Here is a 23,630-nt window from a genome sequence, read left to right on the forward strand (position 1 = left end):
TGATCTTTTCACTTCAACAGGACATAGGAGCAGCGTCCAAAGCTGAAGGAATCAGGCAGACTTAGAAACCCAGGATAAGTGAAAAACATTTAGAAAAGCTACTGTGAACAGTGATAATGAACGGAGCATGAATCTACTAGTGGAATTGGGGATCACTTCGTATCTGACTGACTAAAAGCTGTTTAATAATAGCAACTGAAGTGGGGCTGATAGATTTTTCCATTAGGAATAACATATACTAAATCCAGCTTCCACAGCCCTAGTAACAGCCTTCAGTGTGGTTACACAAACAACAGAGGCAGAAGATTTTAGCCTCACAGCCCCCAACACACATCAAATGCACAACTACTCACCTTCTTGTAGAAGTACTAAGTAGAAAAAAATATTGCAAGAGGATGAAATGCTTGTGACAAATGATAAATGAGTCCCAAATATAGCTGTCTATGGCAGCTTTATCTGTGGTTTTGTGGCGTCTTTGATGCTTATTTAAAGGAACTAGAATTTAACCACCCATTAAGAGTCCAGATCAGGCCTTGGATTCACCTTGGTCTTCTGAGGTTGTCTTTTCCACAGAATCTTCCAGGTGCGTTTTTATAATGACACTCTATCAAGCCACTGAGATCAACTGCCAGAGCTCAATCTGCTACAGGAATCTTGCTAGAAGAGAAGAATGTTTCATCAGAGACAGTCATTCATCCTGGCCCACACCTCTCCTGCTCTGATCTTCCACTGTTAAAAGCATAACACACTGGAGGAAGATTGTGCTATATTTCATGCATGCTCTGCGCCACCACCAAGGGACAGTCCCATCTGTTATTTGCTCTCAGCTTTGCTTACTGATAAAACAGGAAGGACAGCTTGCTGATGGGCTCTTTGAAGCAAATGGATCCTCTCTTTCCTGGAATTAATGTTTATAAATTATTTCTACAGTAGACAGCATGTATGGTACCATGATTTCAAAATTAGTTTCAATAAATTAAGGGCCTGCATTCATTACAAGAGGAGCTTGATTACAATGCAACTCATGGAGTTTACTGTTGTGCTCTACCTTTTGTGAAAATTGCTGCATGAAATTAAACACTCTCATTAATTCTGTTGATTATCATCCCTTCATAAGATCTTACAATCATATGTTCAGTTATTGAAATTTCACTTTATGTATATAATCGAGTTTTAGTTGTTCACGGAAAACAGGATTCAGGACACTTCAAAATTTCAGAGACTAGGTTAATAGTCCTCTGGCTTCAGCAAATTGAAATGGCTTATAAGAACAAAGCACAAATATAACTGAAGTGATTTGGGTTTTTTCCCCCCCAGAATATTATGTTGTTTCAATCATATACCATTTTTAGAGTAGAGAAATAATTATATACTTTATGGCTTCTGCACTATTTTCAAAAGGATTTTAGAAGATGACTCTCTTTTTCTAAATTGGAAAACATCCTTTTAGCTCAGCTTTTCATGGTTCCTTTTTATTTCCTTGCCTCAATATCTTTGACCAAATTTGTCTATGTTTTCTTTGTAAACTAATTCTTTTTCTGTGTTAGGTAATGGTATGTTTTCTTAAAAAAGTGACCTTGAAATTTTTATTAGGCTAGCCACTTTTAAAGCTTTAGACTAGGAATTTTAATTTCCAAGCAACACATATCAGTTCCAAGTACAGTTGTCCCTCAATATCCATGGGCTTTGGGGCATTGATTCCAGAAGCTCCTGCAGATCCCAAAATCCACAGATGCTCAAATCTCTGATATAAAATGGTGTGGTATTTGCATATAACCTACTCACATACTACCATATACTTTAAATTGTATCTAGATTACTTATAATACCTAACAATATAAATGCTATGTAAATAGTTGTTATACTGTTTTGCTTAAGGAATGAGAAGAAAACGTCTGAACATGTTTGGTACAGATGCAAATTTTTTCCCAAATATTTTCAATCTGATTTGTTGACTCTACAGATGTGGAACCCCCAAAGACAAAGGGCTGACTGTACAAACAAGAAAAAAATTGAGTCACAGTTTCGAAAGACTCTAGATAGGAGAGAAAAGCCTCTAAACAATTTAAGATTCATTCAAAGACTCTTAAAAGCTCAAGGAGACCACCACCTCTTTATCCTTGTATGAGGTGGTTGAGAAACAGCAGACATACAAGGAGAGCGGATCAAGGGGAGAACAGGAGATACCAAGATTTCTAGCTGAAAAAAAAAACCACTCTATTTGAAAGAGCTACTCCTTAGTACACACTAATAATAATACAGTGAAAGAAAAAAATACTGAAGCACAGAGAAAGAAAAATTGGTATGAAGCATCCTCATGCTATTAACAGGTTGTATTTAGGAGAAGTAATTTTATAAAAATGCAGTCCAGCACTGTGGTTTATGCCTGTAATCCCAACACTTTGGGAGGCCGAGGTGGGCAGGGCACCTTAGGTCAGGAGTTCGAGACCAGCCTGGCCAACATGGCGAAACCTCGTCTCTACTAAAAATACAAAATTAGCCCGGTGTGTGGCAGTCACTGGTAATCGCAGCTACTTGGGAGGGTGAAGCAGAGAGAATTGCTTGAACCCGGGAGGCGGAGGTTGCAGTGAGCCAAGATCGTGACATTGCACTTCAGCCTGGGTGACAAGAGCAAGACTCCATCTTAAAAAAAAATGCATCCCAGTGGTATTGTATACTCTCTGGCCATTTCATGTATTTTATAGCAATCCATAGTAGGCATGATCTATATTGCTTGTGCTGATTACACTATGAGAGTAAGCTAGAAAGTATGGCAGAGATTTAGACTACAGTTAATTGTGCAATATACAATACTTTAATTGTTTTAAGATTAATTTTAGCAGAATTTGAATTACAACTTTCTTTATCAACTCCGTCTATGAGAGATAAAACAAGACCCCTTTGAGATCACACCCACTAATAAAGAGTATAAAAAAAATTCAATGAGGTTTTAGTTATGATTAAATTTGTTTTATTTATTTATTTTTTAATCTTTCAAGTACCCAGGCATTCTTAGTAGAATAAGAATAGAAGAGGTATTCAAAACAGCCCTGATTAAATGGAGAAGTGTTCAGAAACTAATAGAACACAGTTATGAAGAGATAGGTAGAGTATAATTCATTTTTTAAAATGCCTTCAGTGAAATTAACAGAAGTAATTACCAACAAAGTAATGCTATTATTAAAAAGAGAAAGAATATTACTGTCTTATGTGTGATGCATAAGACCAATGAAATAATTTTCCTACTGAATTTAGTCATTTCTCTGGGGAAATTTGGATAAGTCAGGTGCCATTAGAATGATCAGACATTCAGCAAAACAATAAGTCCAGTTTATATTCCTTAAGTCATTAAGGTGATAGAAAAACAAATGTCAGAGGAGAAAATGGTTAAGACATAAGATATTTTAAAAAGAAAAGAAAAATATCTTAGCATGAGCTCAGAGAATGTCTACCACGTAACTGACTTCAGCCGGAAATGTTGACTGTCTAGTTTCTGAATTCCTAAGAACATACAATTTTTTAAAAATAAAAAATGTAATATGAGAGGTTGAAGTTAAATCCAGGGAAACATACACAGAACCTGAAAGACACTAGCCTTTCTTGTAGTCTTTCTAAACACATGCACCATCATCTGTTTCAAATATTTTCATGCCATCCTTCTTACAGTCCTACTTATGATTATCAGTCCTATTATTACCCCATGATACAGTTTAGAAAACAAATTCATGCACTAAGTAAATGGACCAAATCGTAAGTCACTGCCTTTTGCTCCAGAGTTGGCTGCTTTGATTACTCCTACACTTAACTAGTCAACTTTAAAGAAAAAAATTTTTTTTTCTGTGAAGGAAATTAAGTGCCTATTTTCAGAGAGCTAAAAGCAATCAAGGCATCTACTGTGTTATTTTCCTATCCATGTCGACTCATGTTTAAGGTTGACTAGGAAGACATAATCATTGGCTGCTAATAACAAATAGATTTCTTTTGATAAAAAATTTAAAAGAGTTTCTAATGCTTTATTTTATAATTTTCAGTTTTCTATTGGCGTGACATAGTGAAAGTGAGTAGCATAGGGCTGGTATTCAGGAAAAGACCAAGTTCTTAAGTAAAACAGCATGGTGTGTGACTATAAAGGAATAAAATTGTTTATGCATTAAAACTACCTGCCATTCTAATGGATATTTTTCTTAAAAGGAGCCTCCCCAAGAAGCTATTATTCTATTGATAGCTTTGTTCTAAGTATTTTGAAAACACCACTTTTGGAATTGACTTTGTTTGCATTTCTAGCCATACAATAAATCAGGCAGTTTAGCTTTGCTGTACCCCATATAATAGCTCAAATTCTGCTACCTCCCCTAATATATCAAAATTAATATCTTTTTTTTTCTTTTAGGTAGAATATTACTCTGTTGCCCAGGCTGGATTACAGTGGCATGATTTCAGCTCACTGCAACCTCCTCCTCCCTGGTGCAAGCAATATTCATGCCTCAACCTCCTGAATAGCTGGAATTACAGGCACACACCACGACACCTGGCTAATTTTTGTATTTTTAATAGAGACAAAGTTTCACCATGTTGGCCAGTCTGGTCTCGAACTCCTAACATCAGGTGATCTGCCTGCCTTGGCCTCCCAAAGAGCTGGGATTACAGGTGTGAGCCATGGTGCCCAGCCCTAAAATTAATATTTTTAACTCAATTTTTACTGCTTCCCCATTTCATTGACAGAACCATATAATTAAACTAAAGAATTTAAAAAGAAAAAAATTATGGTTAGAAGTACAGATGTATTTTTGTTGTTGTTATTATGAGACAGGGTCTCACTCTGTCATCCAGCCTCGAGTACAGTGGCACAGTCCTAGGATCCTAATTCACTGCAGCCTTAAACTCCTGGGCTCAGGTGATCCTTCTGCCTGTACCTCCCAAAGTGTTGGGATTACAGGGGTGAGCTGCCATGCCTGGGCTAGAACTACCAATTTAAATACAGAAAATTTTAAATACTTAAAATTTTGCATCTTGGCTGGGTGCAGTGGCATACACCTGTAATCCCAGTGCTTTGGGAGGCTGAAGTGGGAGGATCACTTGAACCCAGGAGTTCAAGACCAAACTGAGTAACATAGTGACATCCCCTCTCTACAAGAAATTTTAAAATCAGTCAGACATGGTGGCACATGCCTGTGGTTCCAGCTACTCAGGAGGTTGAGGTGGGAGGATCATTGAGCCCAGGACGTCAAGGCTGCAGTGAGCCATGATCATGCCACTGCACTCCAGTCTGGGTGACAGAACAAGACCTTGTCTAAAACACAAACAAACAACAACAAAAAATTATATATATATATAGCATCTTACTGTGCTAAATAAACGATGTGGATAGTCATGAACCAACCCACTAATCCACTCCTATTTTATCATTGATTTGATTATATGAGGATACATGATATCACCAGATAAATGTTTAGAAAGGAAAGTTATCCACATAGTCCAGCTGAAATGCCACAAAGCTAGTTAACACATTTTGGTCCTCAACTGTCAGATTAAGCCATCTCAATACTACTGCAAATTCCACAGCCAGCTTGGGACTATTCCTCATTCCTGGCATAATTGTTTACAATTCAAAGAATGATAATGTTCCTTCTTTTAGGAAGACAAAAATTTGAAGATCAAAACTTGTTAAATTATGATCTCCAAGATAAAAATGCCTTTCATTTCTTAATATTATACATAAAGTTCTGTTATTTAAAAATTGTTAAAATATTGGTTGATAGTGTGGTATGTCAGTTTTTTAGAGCAAAACATAGCAAGTACCTACAATATGCAGTGAAGTATAAAGACACAATTCCTTTCTTTTAAACATTTATAAAGTAAAATGGCAATGTTTAGTAAAATAATATCCCTCCAAAGGTATCATTGCATTACTGTAATTATTGTTTTTAATAAGATCTATTACCTTGGAAGGATTAGTGGCAAATATGAATAAAACAAATTTACAGGCTTATTGCATATTTTACGTATCTACTGTGTTCTCTGTTTATTACATAAAAATTGTCACCATTTATAAAGAATTTACTAAGATCCAGACACTATACTTAGAGGTTATATAATCTTTATTTCAGGCCTATAAAGGGGGCACTGTTGACCTTGTTTTAAAGATAAGTAGAGCAAAGTTCAGAGAGGTTAATAATTTGCTCTTGGTTTCGTCTCTAAGAAGTGGTAGAGTCAAAATTTAAACCCAAGTCTAACTTCAAAGTTTGCATTGTTATTGACTATTTCTGAAAGCTTAGATTTCACTTATCCTAGCTGTTGAATTTTTAGTAGGAAAATTCTCAGTCTCTGGAAGTTGAAATGCATAAACTGTTGTATATGACAATATCTATCAGCAAAAGAAACACAACTTAATGTTTAAGCTGAAATTAAACTCCATGTCGTATTTCTCATTTCAAAAATGATTAAATACATTTCTTTCCCTGCTGGATTATCACCAGAATGGCATATGATATGTCTGGAATCTACCATCCAGTCCCAAATGACCAGGGGACAAAAGCTGCTTTTATGTCATTTCTAAGCAAAAGCCGAAGGGCCAAACATCACTGGGGAAATTTGCTGGGGCGAGATTTTCAGTTCAATTTTATTCTCCCTTGAGGTTCAAACAAACTTCAGATAATCATCTTGAACTCGGTGATGAACCAAACACAGACTACGGTTTCTCGGAGGGTCAGCCCTTCCATTTAGAAAAAAGCACAGCTTAAAGTGACGAGCCAAATGGGGTCAGATGTTCAATACTTGGCAAAAGCCTCAGCTGTCGTATTGAAACAATGTTGACAACATGGCAGGCTTTAAAATAAATCCCCTTGGAGGCTATTGATATCATTCTCGCTTTCCCTTCTGTCTCCTATCCAGGCTCGCTGCTTTCTGAAGGACATGCCAATCATGCACAGCACTTACTAGAAACTGCAAGACTGCACAACATGATGGTATTTATTCCAGGAACAGGAGCCAGTCCTGGGCACACACATAAAGGGACTTCCTTCACTCCCCAGAAGAAGAGAAAGCATGCTGACACACATCTGCCCAAGCAATCAGAAGGCAGCTAAAGCCGCCACAGTCTTCACTCACCAACAGTTAGACCTTTTCAATTGATTTTATTGAAGAAAGTGAGTGCTGAGCACCATGAGTTCTCATAAACAATCCATTTTGGCAAATGCTTTAAGAATGTTGGTTAATTGCAGTTAGGCAGCATCGACGTATTTTATTTTTTGGAAAGCAAGAAGCTGGCTTACCAACATTAAGTTAAACAACATGTAAGGGTTAGAAATATGAATCAACAAACTATTAGGGTGGTACCATCTCTTTATAATAAAACAATGTAGATTGATTAAGTATAGCCTAAAAGTTTACCACAAATCATAACTACATTTAAGCTTTGAATTTCATGACTAGTGATTAATTTTGCATGTCAACTTGACTGAGCTTATAGAATGCCCAGGTATCTGATTAAACGTTATTTCTGGAGGTGTCTGTGAGGGTGTTTCTGTAAGAGATTAGCATCTGAAGGCCAGGTGTGGTGGCTCATGCCTGTAATCCTAGTACTTTGGGAGGCCGAGGTGGGCAGATTGCCTGAGCTCAGGAGTCTGAGACCAGCCTGGGCAACATGGCAAAACACCGTCTGTACTAAAAAATACAAAGTTTAGCCGGATGTGGTGGCACACACCTGTAGTCCCAGCTACTAGGGAGGCTAAGGCATGAGAATTTCCTGAGCCTGCGAGGCGGAGGTTGTGGTAAGCCAAGATTGTACTCCAGCCTGGGTGATAAAGTGAGACCCTATCTCATAAAAAACAAAAAAACAAAAAAGAAAAAAGGAGAAGAAAGAGACACAGATTAGCATTTGAATGGGTGGACTGAGTAAAGCAGATGGCCCTCGTCAGTGTTGGTGGGAATTGTCCTATCCATTGAGGGCTTAAATGAAACAAAGACTGAGGAAGGCTGAATTCAATCTCTGCTGACTGCTGGGGCTGAGACATCAATCTTCTCCGGCTCTCAGTGCTCTTCCAGACTCAGACTGGAATGTACACTATCAGCTCTCCAGTTCTCAGGCCTTCAAATTACACCTCTGGCTTTCCTGGGTCTCCAGCTTGCAGATGGCAGATCGTGGGACTTCATGGGACTTCTCAGACTCCATAACCAAGTAAGCCAATTTATTATAATAAATCTCACATATATATAATTATATATGTATATATAAATCTCATATATATGTGTGAATGTGTGTGTGTGTGTGTGTGTGTATAAGGTTGATGCAAATGTAATTGAGGTTTTTCCATTGAAAGTATGTCCAAAACCCTTATTGCCATTGAAAGTAATGTCCAAAACAATTACTTTTGCACCAACCTAAATATTTATATATATACTTACATATATAATAGGAAATAATATATATATATCTCCTATTGACTCTGTTTCTCTGGAGAGCCCTAACACGCTAACACAATAACCTTTCACTGTGCATGTGACATAATGAAATATAGAGAACTATCTATGCTGTGAGGAAAATTAGCTTTTTGATACATTGCTCTCTGTTATAAAATAATTTATTTTCCTGTGCATATATTATAGGAGAATAATATAATGCCAGTAAGCATAGTTTGATATTAAGTTGAGACTTTTAAACAGCTCACATTGTATTTGCCTTTGAGGTTTATATAACTGCCAACCCATGTATCTTTCAGTTATAAGATTCCGAGGTTGGTATATAGGTATCTCAGTAAGGTTATTGGGGTTCCTAGACCACCATGATGCCCAAGGAAATAGCTTTTTTATAATCCAAAGTTGAAATACTACTGAAATGATCAAAGAAGACATTGAGAAATGTTTTTTAGAATAATCTCATCCTTTAACTAATCACCTTTTCAGTGCTCTCAGAATACTAAAGCCATGGACAATTTTAAAAACTAGAGGCCGGGCACAGTGGCTCATGCCTGTAATCCCAGCACTTTGGGAGGCCGAGGTGGGCAGATCGCGAGGTCAGGAGTTCGAGACCAGCCTGGCCAACATAGTGAAACCTCGTATCTACTAAAAATACAAAAGAAAAAAAAAACAACTAGCCGGGTGTGTTGGCGTGTGCCTGTAGTCCCAGCTACTCAGGAGGCTGAGGCAGAAGAACCACTTGAACCCGAGAGGCAGAGGTTGCAGTGAGCCAAGATCGCACCACTGCACTCCAGCCTGGTGACATGAGACTCTGTCTCAAAACAAAAACAAAAACAAGAAAAAACTAGAACTTGAATGGGCCATAAGACGGTCCAATTCCCTCATTTACTGGATTATGGTGCTTCATTCAGAGGCCATCTCAAAAGGCAGTGAGAAAAGAGGGCAGCTGGTTGCCCATACTTGCTCCAGCCAGAGCAACTCCTACCACTGTTCTGTCTACTGGTCTTTTAAGCACAGTTTACCTAAGAAAAATAAAATTGCACTTCTAAAAGAAAAATTTGAAACCACTGATCTTGTCGTTTTATAGGTAATCAAGTTGAAATTGAGAAAGGTGAAATGATCAGGCCGCTATCGCATGCCTAGTTTATGATCAGTCAGAACTGCAGACTCTTCCCATTCCCTGGAGCTAGAACAAGCCACACCCTTTCAGGAGACTAGAGTTGTGCTCCTGCTATTCCTTCTGTCAACATCATCCAGTCTCTTCTTATTTCCTGAATGTCCTGCTCCTTTTCCCAACATAAATTCATGAAGCTTTTTTTGGAATTCTGGCCAGTTTTATCCATTTAACCACACAGTTATGGAACGTTCTGAAGAAAAAGCATGGGGAGGAACAGGCTTAAGCACAAAGGAAAACACAGAGCTAGGGTGAAATGTTCCCTTCGTTTCGAGATATCATTATGTTTGCATCGTCATTATTGTCTTCATCAGCATTCCTTCTATTCATACCGTACTCCATGACGGTTTATTATTATATGTGCTACCTCATTTGATTACCGCTCAATAAGCCCTGTAATGTATCTTAACAAACTAAGTGCTATGAAAATCATAAATTTGTTTGTACTATTTTGCATTTTTAGGTATACTGCGTTCTAATTGTCCATAAGCTCTTTAGCTGATGCAATTTTTTCTCACAAAATAGATTTAAAAATTTTTAAAGTCATCTGTTATATCTGTTACCTTTTTCATTATCCAAGTGCCTAACAAAGAAACACATTGATAGCAAAGAATCTGCAAATCACTGGTTAGCAAAACTAGAAACAAAACCAACGCCTGTAACCACAGTGTCCAGTGGCAAAAAGTCAAGAGCAGAAAGTGGAGATCAACTGCAGATAAACTGCAGATAAACGGCGGGAGTGCTGCAGCCTTAGGTGACCTCCTGGCAGCTTTTGATGCTAATGATCATGCCCTCCTTCCTGGAGCTTTCCACTTCCTTTGTTTTATATATCACTGCTCTCTTTTTCGCTCTTTGAAGCTTCCTTCCAAGTGTCTTTTTATGGTTTTGCTGACCCTCCACATATTTTCATATTTCTGAGTATTTCCTCATGCCATTCATTTCTCTTTCCTCTTTGCTTGAACTGCCCATCTTCCAAAATTCAGCTCAACTACCACTTCCTTTCTAAAGGCTTTCCTGACTGCCAAGATTGGAAGTATTTATTCCTTCCTCTTTTTCTTTTTTTTAAAAAAAAATTCATTTTTTCAAATAGTGAAGCCACCTTTGAAAAATTGTGACAGTGAGAGAAATCTGACATAGCTGACTCCATCTTTCTTCTAACCTCCAAGCTGTACTTGGTCATTTCTGGGCATAGGCCAAGCTAACTTTGGGAAGAATTATTTTATAGTTTAACCTTAAAGCAAGGATGATAATTGCCCTTCCCCAAAACTAAACTGCCTTTGTAAAACTAATGAAAGGCCGTAAGGCTAGCATTATGAAGGGAGCCTAAATCTGCTAAAATATAACCAGCCATTGTTCAGGAGGTCACAAAATTTATAATTTCCCCAATTACTCCTGTAGATGACATCACTGTTATAGAACCTAAGATTGGTCTTTTGAGATGTTTTTTCAGATTTTTGCATTTCTGATGGCTGGCTGATTTCACCCAGATCTGTGATTCTTGACTCAACCAGTCATGTGGCTCCCACCCAGAGGCAGACTCAGCACAAGAGAACCATTTTCCACACCCTTATGATTTCATCCCAAACCAATCAGTAGCACCCATTCCCTAGCCCCATGCCCACCAAACTATACTTGAAACACCCTAACCTCCAAGCCTTTGGGGAGATTGGTTTGAGTAATAACCCCATCTTCAGCATAGCTCCTCTTGCATCAATGAAACTCTTTCTTTGGTGCAATACTGTGGTCTCAGTGAATTGATTTTGTGTGTGCAGTTGGCAGAAAAAAATCCTATCAGGCAATTACAAAAGATATTGCATTCACATAGTCCAAAATCCAAACATATTTAGAGGCAGGTAGTGAAAAGTCTCCTTTGCACTATTGTTTCATGCTGTTCCCTTTCACTTCTCATTGGCTAACTTTGTGTTTCCAAAAATATTTATGCATAAATTAGCAAAGACAAGTTTGCTCTGGTTTTACACAAATAGTAGGGTGCTATGCAGTGTGTTCTGAACACTGCTTTTTTCCACTAAATGATTGTGTTTTGGAGAGAGGTGTTTTCATATTAGTATAGAGAGTATAGCATTATTCCCATATAGCTGTATAGTATTTTATGTCAGGGTTGTAGTATAGTATATTTAATCACTCTCCTATTTATGAAACTCTAAATGATTTTTAACTTTTGTTATTATGAGCAATGATGGAATTAATAGTCCTGTACATATGTCAGAGGCATTTGAACCAGAGCAACTCCATTTTGAGTGAGGGCTAGGAAAATGAGTCTGGGACTTGCTGGGCTACATTTCCAGAAAATGAGGCATCCTTAGCCTCTAGAGGTTTATGGTTAAGGGAACAAATTAATAATGCTTACGAAACAGACCCAGACTTGGGAGTGTCCAGATATCCTGCTATCTGGAGAACAAAGGCATTCATAGTTTTGCTTTAAAGATAATAGTATCAATTATTGCAAAATATAGTAATTAATAAAATTAATCCTTTATCACAAACTCTTGTAGCAGAGCACATCTCCCCAAGATCTATTTTTATCCTATGTATATATATACATATATATACAAGCATTGTAACTAGGGTGGACACGTTCCTCCTCTTACTTTCAGGAACGTCCTATTCTGTCTATGGAGTAGCTGTCCTTTCACCACTTTACTTTCATTTATTTAATTAATTTTGTTTTGTTTTGTTTGTTTGTTTGTTTTTTTGAGACAGAGTCTAGCTCTGTTGCCCAGGCTGGAGTGCAGTGGCATGATCTCGGCTCACTGTAACCTTCGCCTCCTTGTTCAAGCAATTCTCCTGCCTCAGCCTCCCGAGTAGCTGGGATTACAGGTGCACACCACCATGCCTGGCTAATTTTTGTTTTTTTAGTAGACTTGGGGTTTTCCATGCCAGGCTAGTTTCGAACTCCTGACTTCAAGTGATCTGTCACCTTGGCCTCCCAAAGTGCTAGGATTACAGGCATGAGCCACCATGTCTGGCCCACTTTACTTTCTTAATAAACTTGCTTTTGCTTTGCACTGTAGACTTGCCCTGAATTCTTTCTTGCATGAGATCCAAGAACCTGCTCTTGGGGTCTGGATTGGGACCCCTTTCTGTAACACATATATCATTTTGCAAAAACATACTAGTATACTCACAGAATAAATTGGAATTGTTCCATCAGAGAGTATAAAATTATGGTAAATATTTTCATTTATTCTCCATATGTGTTGTACCAATTTATACTTTCTCAAGCAATATGTGAAGTTCACATTTCTCCCACATTCTTGATAAGACTGTGTATCAAACTTACATATCTTTATCAATCTTTATAGGTGAGAGATGTTATTGCAGTGTAATTTTATGTTTTATTTCTTTCATTATGATTCAAGTTCAGCACCTTTTCATATTTTAAGGGTTATGTGTATCTCTTTTTAATGAATTATCTGCTTATATAATTTTCACATTTTTCTAGTAGGTAATTAGTCTTACTCATTTATGGAAACCTTTTACATATTAAGAAAATTAGATCTGTTTTGTTTTTATATGAGTTACAATTTTTTCCAGTGTATGCTTTCTTCTTTTTGACTCTGCTACTAATAACCCTCCTTACTTTCTAGTTGTTGTAGGGGAGAAAAAATAATTTTCCCTACAATTCATATTTCTCATGTGGGACTCTCTCTAACAAAAGATACATTAATAGCAGGAAAATAAACACGTTTATTAACATGTATATTTTTATATGAGACAGCTAGGAAATGAGTAATTCTCTAGAGTAGATCTCAAAGAAAAGCATTTAAACTTCAGGCTTACATACCATTGTTCTCTGAAACAAAGAAAGAAGGATGTGGGGAAAGGCCTGGTTATGATATGACCAGGAAAAGCACCTTAAACAAAGATAAGGTTTGTTATGCAGATTTAAGTCAATATCTTCTCCAATTACTCATCTCTCTCTTCAGGGTGCAGAGAGGGAGACACCCTTACAAATAGAGATTTTCATTATAGATGTCAATTTCTCTTACAAAGGATCAACTTTTCAGAGCTGCTTTTATGTCTGCAGTTTCTCAAAATAATATGCCACAGAGGCATATTTTAGGGTTGTATATACTGGTCTCCTACAATCATATTTTGGGATGATGTGAGCCCCATCACTGCCTGTGAACTATTCATTTTGTAACCACCCAACTGGTTCTTCTTGCCTGCTGCCCAGATAAAGCTGATTTATCAAGACAAGGGAAATACAAGACAGAGTTTAATACACATAGAGCCAGCTAAACAAGAGACAAGAGTTTTATTATTACTCAAAGCAGCCTCCCAAAAATTTGGAGGCTAGGGTTTTTTAAAGCTAATTTGCGAGGGTTGAAGCTGTTCTCTTGCACTGAGTAGGTTCTTGGGTGGGGACAACAAGACCAGATGAGCCAGTTCACCAGTCTAGGTGGCGCCAGCTGATCCATCGGAATGTACTTCCTAAGAAATACCACAAACACCAAGCTTAGGTTTTACAATAGTAATGTTGTCTATAGGAGCAACTGAGGGGGTTGGTGATCTTGTGGCCTCTGGCTGCATGACTCCTGAGCTGTAATTTCTAATCTTGTGGCTAATTTGTTAGTTTTTCAAAGGCAGTCTGGTTCCCAGGCCAGGAGGGATTTTGTGTCAGGAGAAACTGTTGTCATCTTTGTTTCAAAGTTAAAGTATAAATGAAATTCCTCCAAAAGTTAGCTTGGCCTTCTCCCAGGAATGAACAAGGGCAGCTTAGAGGCTAAAAGCAAGATGAAGTTGGTTAGGTCAGATCTCTTTCACTGTCATAATTTTCTCACTGTTATAATTTTTGCAAAGGCAGGTGTAATTTATTATAGAACTCACCATACTACGTCATAATTCTTTCTACATTTGCTATCAGACTTTGAGGATCTCAAGAGCAGGTATCTTATTCAACTTTTCATGCCTCTTGTACATTAGCTTACCAGGTACTGAACATGAACCACAAATTTTTTTAATGAATTATTGTGTGCTTATTTTTTCTTTTGGGCTTAAATTCATGTTAAATTTTTAATGATTACATTGGTATTAGCTACATTTAACAGCATTTACAGCTTTGTTTTGTTGTGGCCCTACTTCTTCTTTTTCCTATTCTACTGATATTTAGTTCAATCAATTATGTAGGAGACCAGAATATGCCACCCTGAAATATGACTCCTTAGCATAAGGATTATTTTGAGCTGGTTATTTGAAGGTACCACAGACACATGAGAAGCCCTAAAAATAGAGTACAGGTTACCCTTTTGTAAAGGGAAATTTACATTTATAAAGAAAATCTCCACTGGTAAGGGTGTCTTCCTCTCTGTACCAGGAGCGAATGACTTTAAATCATTAGAGATTGTTATCAATAGACAAGGCACTGACTTAAATCTGCATAACAAACCTTACCCTTGTTTTCCATGCTTTTCCTGGTTACCGCCACATTACTGGTCCTCCAACTCTCTTTTTTCTTTTTTTCAGTAGAGGATGGTATTTAAGCCTGAACTAAGCCCACATCTTTGAGATTGACTAATTTCTGTGAATATCTAGAATGAATGTGTATCTAAGGATTAAATGTTAATAAACTTCTATTTGTTTTTCTCCTCTTAATCTATCTTTTGTTACTGGAGGGACTAGTTAAGAACTCAGAAAAAGTAGAGAAAAAAATTATTTTCTACCTTTACAACAAGCAGAAATTATTCAGCAGATTGGTGTTACGCGCGTAGGGGTGAAGAGACCATCAAACAGGCTTTGTGTGCGCAATAAAGCTTTTTAATCACCTGGGTGCAGGCGGGCTGAGTCCAAAAAAAGGAGTCAGCAAAGGGAGATGGGGTGGGGCAGTTTTATAGGATTTGGGTAGGTAGTGGAAAATTACAGTTAAAGAAAGTTGTTGGCTTGCGGCCAGGGGCGGCGGTCACAAGGTGCTCCATGGGGAGCTTCTGAGACTCATTGTCCAGGAGAAGGAATGTCACAAGGTCAATTGATCAGTTAGGGTGGGACAGGAACAAATCACAATGGTGGAATGTCATCAGTTAAGGCAGGAACTGACTATTTTTTACTTCTTCTGTGGTTCTTCAGTTGTTTCAGGCCATCTGGATGTATACGTGCAGGCTTGGTCTCAGAGGCCTGACAACTGGTTTTTATTCGGAGTACAATTTAAAAATATCAGCAGGAAAAGATGTGTGTGTGTGTGTGCCTATGTATGTGTGTTTATGTGTATGGGGTGGAGGTGGAAGAGGCAAGCTCACATAACCAACCATTTAAGGCTCTAAGTTTCTTTTTAATCTATAAGATAAATAAGTGCCAGAATAAAGTATCCTAGAACATACTGAAGATTTCATGCCAAGATCCCTAGTCCCAGAAAGCTATTTTGAAATGACACTTTGAAGTAAATCAATGGAAAATTCAAGGAAATGAAAGGCCTGCGCTTCAAAAAATCCAACATCAATCAGTACTACTGCTAGGTATCCTTTATTTTCCTCCTTACATATTGTACATACAAGTTGTAGGATAGCTTTTTACAGGAAAAGGGTAAAAATTATTTAATTTTCTATAACTTCAGCCACTTATTCTCATGCTATGGCTTTTCAAATGTTTATGTATTTGAATGAAAACACAGTAACTCCTCCACCTGTCTTTAAAACAAAGGTGGTTATATACCTGGTCTGCAGGGGCAGAGGGAAGGTGTGGAACTTAATATTAAATGTTCATCCATAATTTTCACTTTGCTTCAGACCTTGATGAGGAGTCAAGATGGCCTCTTGCTTTGTTTGGTTTTGAGGTCTTCATGCTAGCATGCAGTTGTGTAAGAGCAATTTACCGTGACTCACCTTTCTTTTTTTTTTCTGGCACAAAAAATAAAGTTTTCCTATGGTGCTCAATAGCACTCAAATGTGCCAGGGCAAAGGCCTCTTTTTTAAAAAAATGAAATAAAACATATGGAAGGAAACTAAGAACTCTTGTCAAAATTATTCCACTGTGAAATTAGTTACATTCCACAAGAAAATATAATCATGCCAAGGGTTATTTTCTTCAGTGACTCTCACATAAACTACAGCAGGAAAAAAAAAATCTGGTGTTCAGCTTCATAAGCTGTCAGTGCCATTGGCTACCTAAACCCATTCATATTTGATTATTTTCAGTCCACTGCCATTTCTATACAGCCCTGGTGGATATTTCCTTGATTCATTAAATAAAACATTCCCATCAGCCTATTATTGTGTTGCTGCTGTCCTTGCTATAATTAACACAGCAACAGATTTAAAAACTAATACTTAAAATAACTGGTGTAGAATTCACTTCTAAACAGAATACACATAAAAAAGATTATCCAACAGGGAGCTGCCAAATGTACTGTAAACTGCAAGAGTTTCACATCCTTTAAACACTCGGCAAGATGCTAACTGAACCACATCTCTGCTGTCAGCAGAGCATGAAACTCTGAGATTTGTTTCAGTTTCCATCTAGTCTCTGCCAGTTAAAACTAAAGACTTCCACAGGGTAAATACCTATTCCATTTTTACTGGCATTGCCTACTTTCTCTTTGACAATCTTTATGTTTCCCTCTCAGGAATGCTTGAGCCCTTTATGAATGTGACATTTTGCAAAGCCCTGTGGTCTAATAAACTTTCCCAAATTTCCTCATCATCCTCATCTCCACAAAGTCTTTCTTATGTGCACACAGTTGTGAGTGGCACTATGCAAAGAAAATCTAATAGACCCTATTCTTTTTCCTATAAGAATATATCATGGAGAACACACACACTCATACATATACCCAGTACCTAGAGAGAGAGAGAGCTAAATGCAAACAGTAAGCTCTGCTCAAAATCCTCCATTGGATTCTCGTTTCTTATCAAATCAAATACAATTTTCTCAGCTTGTCACTCAAAGACTTCTACAATATGAGCCTAGATTATCTTTCCAGCCGACAATTTACCAATCTCCTGAGTGTATCTCCTGTTCCTAGTAAACTAGATTACTCACAGTTCCTGTGTTATATGGTGCTTTCCTATTATCTTATCCTGACCCCAGACAGGTAGAAAATCAGGGCCCTGGAGTCAACTAGTCTGGAGTGTGGGATGTTATATGCCTGGTTCAGGGGGAAAGGAGGGAGAGGAATAGAGAAGAGGTATCCCTTGTAATCTTATCAATAGGCAGCTGCTGGGGCACTAGGAAGTGATTTGAGTCAGAGCAACTCTCAGAGTTGCTGATGAGAAAAGTCATGCAGACCATCCAAATAAGTTGTCAGTTTTAATGAGTGCTACAAAAATGAGGATTCCTTAATGAAGCCAGGCACACCGAGAGAGGACAGGACACGTGCTTCAAACTGGAGCGTGTGAGATGCAGGCTAAAGCTCTGTAAATAAGAGTAGAAATGAAATGACTTTTCCTATTGTGACTGCTTCTTTGGGGTCTGGGGACAGAGAGTTAAGGATGTGAACAGAACTGAATGCCACCTGGGCTCTTAGAATGATGGCATTCTTTCTGCATGGAACACCTTTATCCTCTGGTTCAAATCATATCAATTCTTCCAGACCCATTTCAAATATCACCTCTTCCATGAAACCTTTTTTTCTGTCCCTCAAAAGAAGCCATCCTTCCCTCATCTGCACTGTATCAGACATTGTTGATACTTCTTGACAGCCTTCCTTACTAGATTGTGTATTATATTCTTAAATTTGTCTTATACCTTTAATATATTATAAGCACCTTAAGTTATGGATTTACTCTTTCTTAATATCAACTGTAGCAACTACATACTGTGACACATAACTGTTACTCAATAAACATTGTTAACATTATTTTAACTAACATCTGAGAACAGAGAATATTTGCATGACTTACGGAAAAAGAAAAGGGGCATCAGTATCCAAATATACCTCTGGATGTTCTCCCAACTGGCCAGTATCACTGGCATTCCCATATGTTTTATAGAGATAACTAGATATATTCAGCTTATATTGAATATTTATTTATAGTTCCTCATGAACCTAGTCAATCAATCTGAAAAATTTATCATAATAAAAGTATTTACTATAATCTCAAGGCATATGAGGGATGCTGAATAAATATTACCACAAAAATATGCAAATGTCCACTTTAATGTTCTCTTCATTTGTTCCTCATACAACCAGGAGATATATCATACCACCTAAAAGTTGGACCCGAAAACTAATTTATGTTATGCTTTGATTAAAATTTAGTTTGCTTTCATACTTGATTTAACAATCTTTTCTCACTATTTTGTTCTTTTGTTAAATATATCATGTTGGAAGTATATATTTCTTATAAGCTCATAGTAAGATGTATAGGAAAAATCCTACAGTATAAGGAATAAAATCCTTCTTAAATGTTTTCCGTATTAACAGGAAAATTGAGGTCAGATTTTCAACCAAGTATATTGGATATTATGTGATGCATTTTATGTTTTAATATTTATCTCAGTTTTCCTATTTTCCTTTAATTTCTTGCTTTAAAAAAATTGGTATCTTAATCTTACAAGTTAGCCCCTTTACACATTTTTAATAATGCAGAGTATGAATAATAACACATAAAATTAAAGTTATCTAATCTTATTTATACTTTAGTATCCTAAAGTCAAAATGTTACATAGAAGTATAGTATATTATTAAATGAAAAGGAAATGACTATTATAGGTGCATTTTTTTTTAAAATACAATGATTTCAAAACTAGCTCGAGGTTTTAGGAAAAATCTGTCTAATTTGCTCCTAACACTAAGACAAATCTCCTAATTTGTTCCTAACACCAAGACAAGCCATATATTCATTTTTCTCATTATTTAGAATTGTAAATTCACAATTTATAATTGTAGAAAATTGTGGAGTACAATATGATGTTATGATTCATGAATACAATGTGAATAATTAAATCAAACTTGTTAAATCATCCGTTTCCTCAAATACTTAACATTTTTTGGTAGTGAGAACGTTTGACATTTACTCTCAGCAATTTTGAAATGTAGAATACTCCATTATCAACTATTAATATATCCACCACAGTGTGCAATAGATATTTAAAAAAAACCCATATTGATCATCATTTCCCCATTATCCCATCCCTCAACCTCCATAACCACTTTCTACTCTCTTACTTCTATGTGTTCAACTCTTTTAAGATACTATATATAGTCGAGAACACGCAGTATTTGTTTTTCTGGGCCTGTCATATTTCAATTAGCATAATGTTCTCCAATTGCATACATGCAAATAACATTTCCTTCTTTGATAAGGCTGAAGAGTATTCCATTGTGTATATAAACGACATTTTCCTTATCCATTTATCTGTTGATGGACAATTAGATTGATTCTATGACTTGGCTGCTGCAGTGAACATGGGAGTGCACACACCTTCTCAACAAACGTATTTCAAATATTTGGGTAAATACCTAGAAATATGGTTTTTGCCTCATGTAATTCTATTTTTAGTTTTTTAAGGAATTTCCATATAGTTTTTCAAGGTGGTTATACCAGTTTACATTCCCAACAACAGTGTACAAGGGTTTTCTTTTCTCCACATTCTTACTTACCTTTGTTATTGTTTATCTTTTTGATAATAGCCATTCTGACAGATGTGAGATGATATTTCATTCTGATTTTAATTTGCACTTCCCTGATGATTAGTGATGTTGAGTATTTTTTCATATATCTGTTGGCCATTTGTATGTCTTCCTTTAAGAAGTGCTTATTTAGGCCCCTTGCCCATTTTTAAATTGGGCTTTTTGTCTTCTTGCTATTGAGTTGTTTGATCTCCTTATATATTTTGAATATTGACATTTTATCAGATGTTTGGCTTGCAAATATTTTCTTCCAATCCATAGGTTGTTCCCCTATATTAATTGTTTCCTTTGCTGTGCAGAAGCTTCTTAGTTTGATAGAACTCCATTTGTCTATTTTGCTTTTGTTGCATGTTCTTTTGGTGTCAAATCCAAAAAATCATTGCTAAGACAAATGTTGTATAGTTTTCCCCCTGTGTTTTGTCTAGTAGTTTTACAGTTTCTGGTCTTCAGTTTAAGTTTTTAATCCATTTTTAGTTCATTTATGCTGTGAGATAAGGGTCCAATATTGTTCATGTGGATATCTAGTTTTTTCACCACCATATGTTGAAGAGACTATCCTTTTTCCACCATGTATTATTGGCAGGTTTGTTGAAAATCAATCAACTGTGCATGCATTGGTTGATTTCTGGGCTCTCTTCAACCAGTCTGCTGGTTGATACGTCTTTTTTTTTTTTTTCTAGCATCATGCTGTTTTAATTACTAGAGAACTCCCTAGTATTGTTTAAAATCAGCTAGTGTGACACCTCCAGCTTTGTTCTTTTTGCTCATGATTGCCTTTGCTATTCAAGGTTTGTTGTTATTCTATATGAATTTTAGCATTTTTTTTTCTATTTCTATGAAAAATAAAACAGACATTTTTACAGTAATTACATTGAATCTATAAATCACCTTGGGTAGAATGAATATTTTAACTATTAATTATTTCAATCCACAAACATAGGATATCTTTCCATCTATTTGGGTCTTCTTCAATTTCTTTCATCAATGTTTTAAACTTTTCAGTGTACACATATTTTAGTTCCTTGATTAAATTTATTCCTAAGTATGTTAATTTTTGTCACTATTATAAATGGGATTGTTTTCTTTCTTTTTCAGATAGTTTGTTATTAGCATGCAAAAATTTGACTAGTTTTTGCATGTTGATTTTTGTATCTTACCACTTTAATGTATTTGTTCATTAATTCCAACAAGTTTTTTTTTTTAATTTAGTCTGTAGGGTTTCCTATATATACGAATATGTCATCAGCAAAGAGTGACCATTTTACTTCTTACTTTCCTAATTATATGTATTTTATTTTCATCTCTTGTCTAATTGCTCTGGCAAGGACTTCCAATACTATGTTGAACGTAGTGCCAAGAGTGAGCATCCTTGTCTTGTTCCAGATCTTAGAGGCAAGACTTTCACTTTTTCTCCGTTAGGTATGATGCTAACTGTGGTTTTCTCCTGCATGGCCTTTATTGTGTTGCGGTACATTCCTTTTGTACCTAATTTGATGAGCGTTTTTATCATAAAAAAGATGTTGAATTTTATCAAATGCCTTTTCTATATCTAATGAGATGATTACATGGTGTTTTGGCCTTCATTCTGTTAATGCAATGTATCATATTCATTGGCTTCAGTATGTTGAGCCATTCTTGTATATCAGGGATAAATCCCACTTGATCATTATGGATGGTCCTTTAAATATATTGTTCAATTTGGTTTGCTAACATTTTGTTGAGGGTTTTTGCAATGATGTTCATCAAGGATACTGGCCTGCAGTTTTCTTTTCTTGTAATGTCCTTGTCTGGCTCTGGTATCAGGGTAATGCTGACTTCATGAAGAGCTTGGAAATGTTGCCTCCTCTTCAGTTTTTTGGAAGAGTTTGAGAAGGATTGGTATTAGTTCTTCATTAAACATTTGGTAGAATTCAGCCATGTGGCCATCAGATCTTGTGATTTTCTTTGATGGAAGACTTTCTTATTACTGATACAATCTCCATACTTGTTATTTTCTGCTCGAATTTTCTATTTCTTTATCAATCAGTCTTGGTAGGTTAGATGTGTTAGGGATTTGTTTGTTTCTTCTAAATTATCAAATTTGTTGCATATAATTGTAATAGTCTCTTTTGATCCTTTGTATTTCTGTGGTATCAGCTGTAGTGTCTTCTTTTTCATATCTGATGTAATTTATTTGAGGTTTCTCTCATTTTTTCTTAGTCTAGCCAAAGTTTTGTCAATTTTGTTTATTTAAAAAAAAAAAAAACAATTCTGGCTGGGCGTGGTGGCTCATGCCTGTAATCCCAGCACTTTGGGAGGCCAAGGCAGGAGGATCATGAAGTCAGGAGATTGAGACCATCCTGGCCAACATGGTGAAACCCCGTCTCTACTAAAAATACAAAAGTTAGCTGGGCATGGTGGCACATGCCTGTAATCCCAGCTACTCGGGAGGCTGAGGCAGGAGAATTGCTTGAACCCAGGAAGCGGAGGTTGCAGTGAGCTGAGGTCGTGCCACTGCACTCCAGCCTGGTGAGATAGCAAGACTCTGTCAAAAAAAAAAAAAAAAACTTAGAAAAAACTAGGTCAAAATTCATATGGAACCAAAAAGAGCCCAAATAGCCAAGGCAATCCTAAGCAAAAAGAACAAAGCTGGAGACATCATGTTAACAGACTTCAAACTATATGACAAGGCAACAGTAACCAAAACAGCATGGTACGGGTACAAAAACAGGCACATAGACCAGCAGAACATATTAGAGGTTCTAGAAAGAATGCCACACACATACATCCATCCACAAAGCTGACCAAAACAAGCAGTGGAGAAAGGACTCCCTATTCAATAAATGCTGCTGGGATAACTGGCTAGTTATATGTGGAAGATTGAAAATGGACTCCTTCCTTACACTATATACAAAAATCAACTCAAGATGGATTGAAGACTTAAGTGTAATACTAAAATTATAAAATTTCTAGAAGATAACCTAGAAAATTTCATTCTAGGGCAAGGACCTGGCAACGAATTAATGATGAGGATGCCAAAAGAGGTTGCAACAAAAATAAAAATTTGACAAATGAGACCTAATCAAATTAAAGAGCTTCTGCATAGCAAAAGAAACTTATCAACAGAGTAATTAGACAACCTATAAAATGGGAAAAAATTTTTGCAAACTATATTTCTGACACAGGTTAGATATCTAGAATCTATAAGGAATTTAAATTTACAAGCAAAAAAGAAACAACCTCATTAAAAAGTAGTCAAAAGACATGAATGGACACTTTTCAAAAGAAGACACACATGTGGCCAACAAGCATGTTAAAAAATTCTCTATATCAAAATTAGAGAAATGCAAATCAAAACCATAATGAGATACCATCTCATATCTGTCAGAATATCTATTATAAAAAAAGAAAAAAAAAATGGCTGGTCACAGTGGCTCATGCCTGTAATCCCAGCACTTTGGGAGGCCGAGGTGGGTG

The 23,630-nt window shown here is 36.6% G+C and overlaps 2 long non-coding RNA genes across 2 annotated transcripts in view, besides 1 other annotated feature; one reads left to right on the forward strand and one right to left on the reverse strand.

The window, feature by feature from the left end:
* Positions 1–23,630, reverse strand: part of LINC00616 (long intergenic non-protein coding RNA 616) — a 103,264-nt gene that overhangs the window by 70,194 nt on the left and 9,440 nt on the right. Inside the window, exons 4-5 of the long non-coding RNA NR_037866.1 lie at positions 838–898; positions 544–657 (exon numbers count right to left, since the gene is read on the reverse strand). This is a non-coding gene — a long non-coding RNA (long intergenic non-protein coding RNA 616). The remainder of the gene's footprint in view (positions 1–543; positions 658–837; positions 899–23,630) is intronic.
* The window catches only part of SLC7A11-AS1 (SLC7A11 antisense RNA 1), an 89,164-nt gene that overhangs the window by 8,602 nt on the left and 56,932 nt on the right, over positions 1–23,630 (forward strand). The window contains exon 3 of the long non-coding RNA NR_038380.1: positions 6,892–8,176. This is a non-coding gene — a long non-coding RNA (SLC7A11 antisense RNA 1). The remainder of the gene's footprint in view (positions 1–6,891; positions 8,177–23,630) is intronic.
* Positions 15,595–16,504: an enhancer, noted in NCBI's record as "OCT4-NANOG-H3K27ac hESC enhancer chr4:139034364-139035273 (GRCh37/hg19 assembly coordinates)". NCBI's record gives its function as "activates a minimal SCP1, AML or CMV promoter by ChIP-STARR-seq in primed H9 embryonic stem cells {active_cell/tissue: H9 hESC(primed)}" and the evidence as "EXISTENCE:reporter gene assay evidence [ECO:0000049][PMID:30033119]".

The sequence above is a fragment of the Homo sapiens genome, chromosome 4 (assembly GCF_000001405.40).
Source record: "Homo sapiens chromosome 4, GRCh38.p14 Primary Assembly".
NCBI classification, from domain to species: domain Eukaryota; kingdom Metazoa; phylum Chordata; class Mammalia; order Primates; family Hominidae; genus Homo; species Homo sapiens.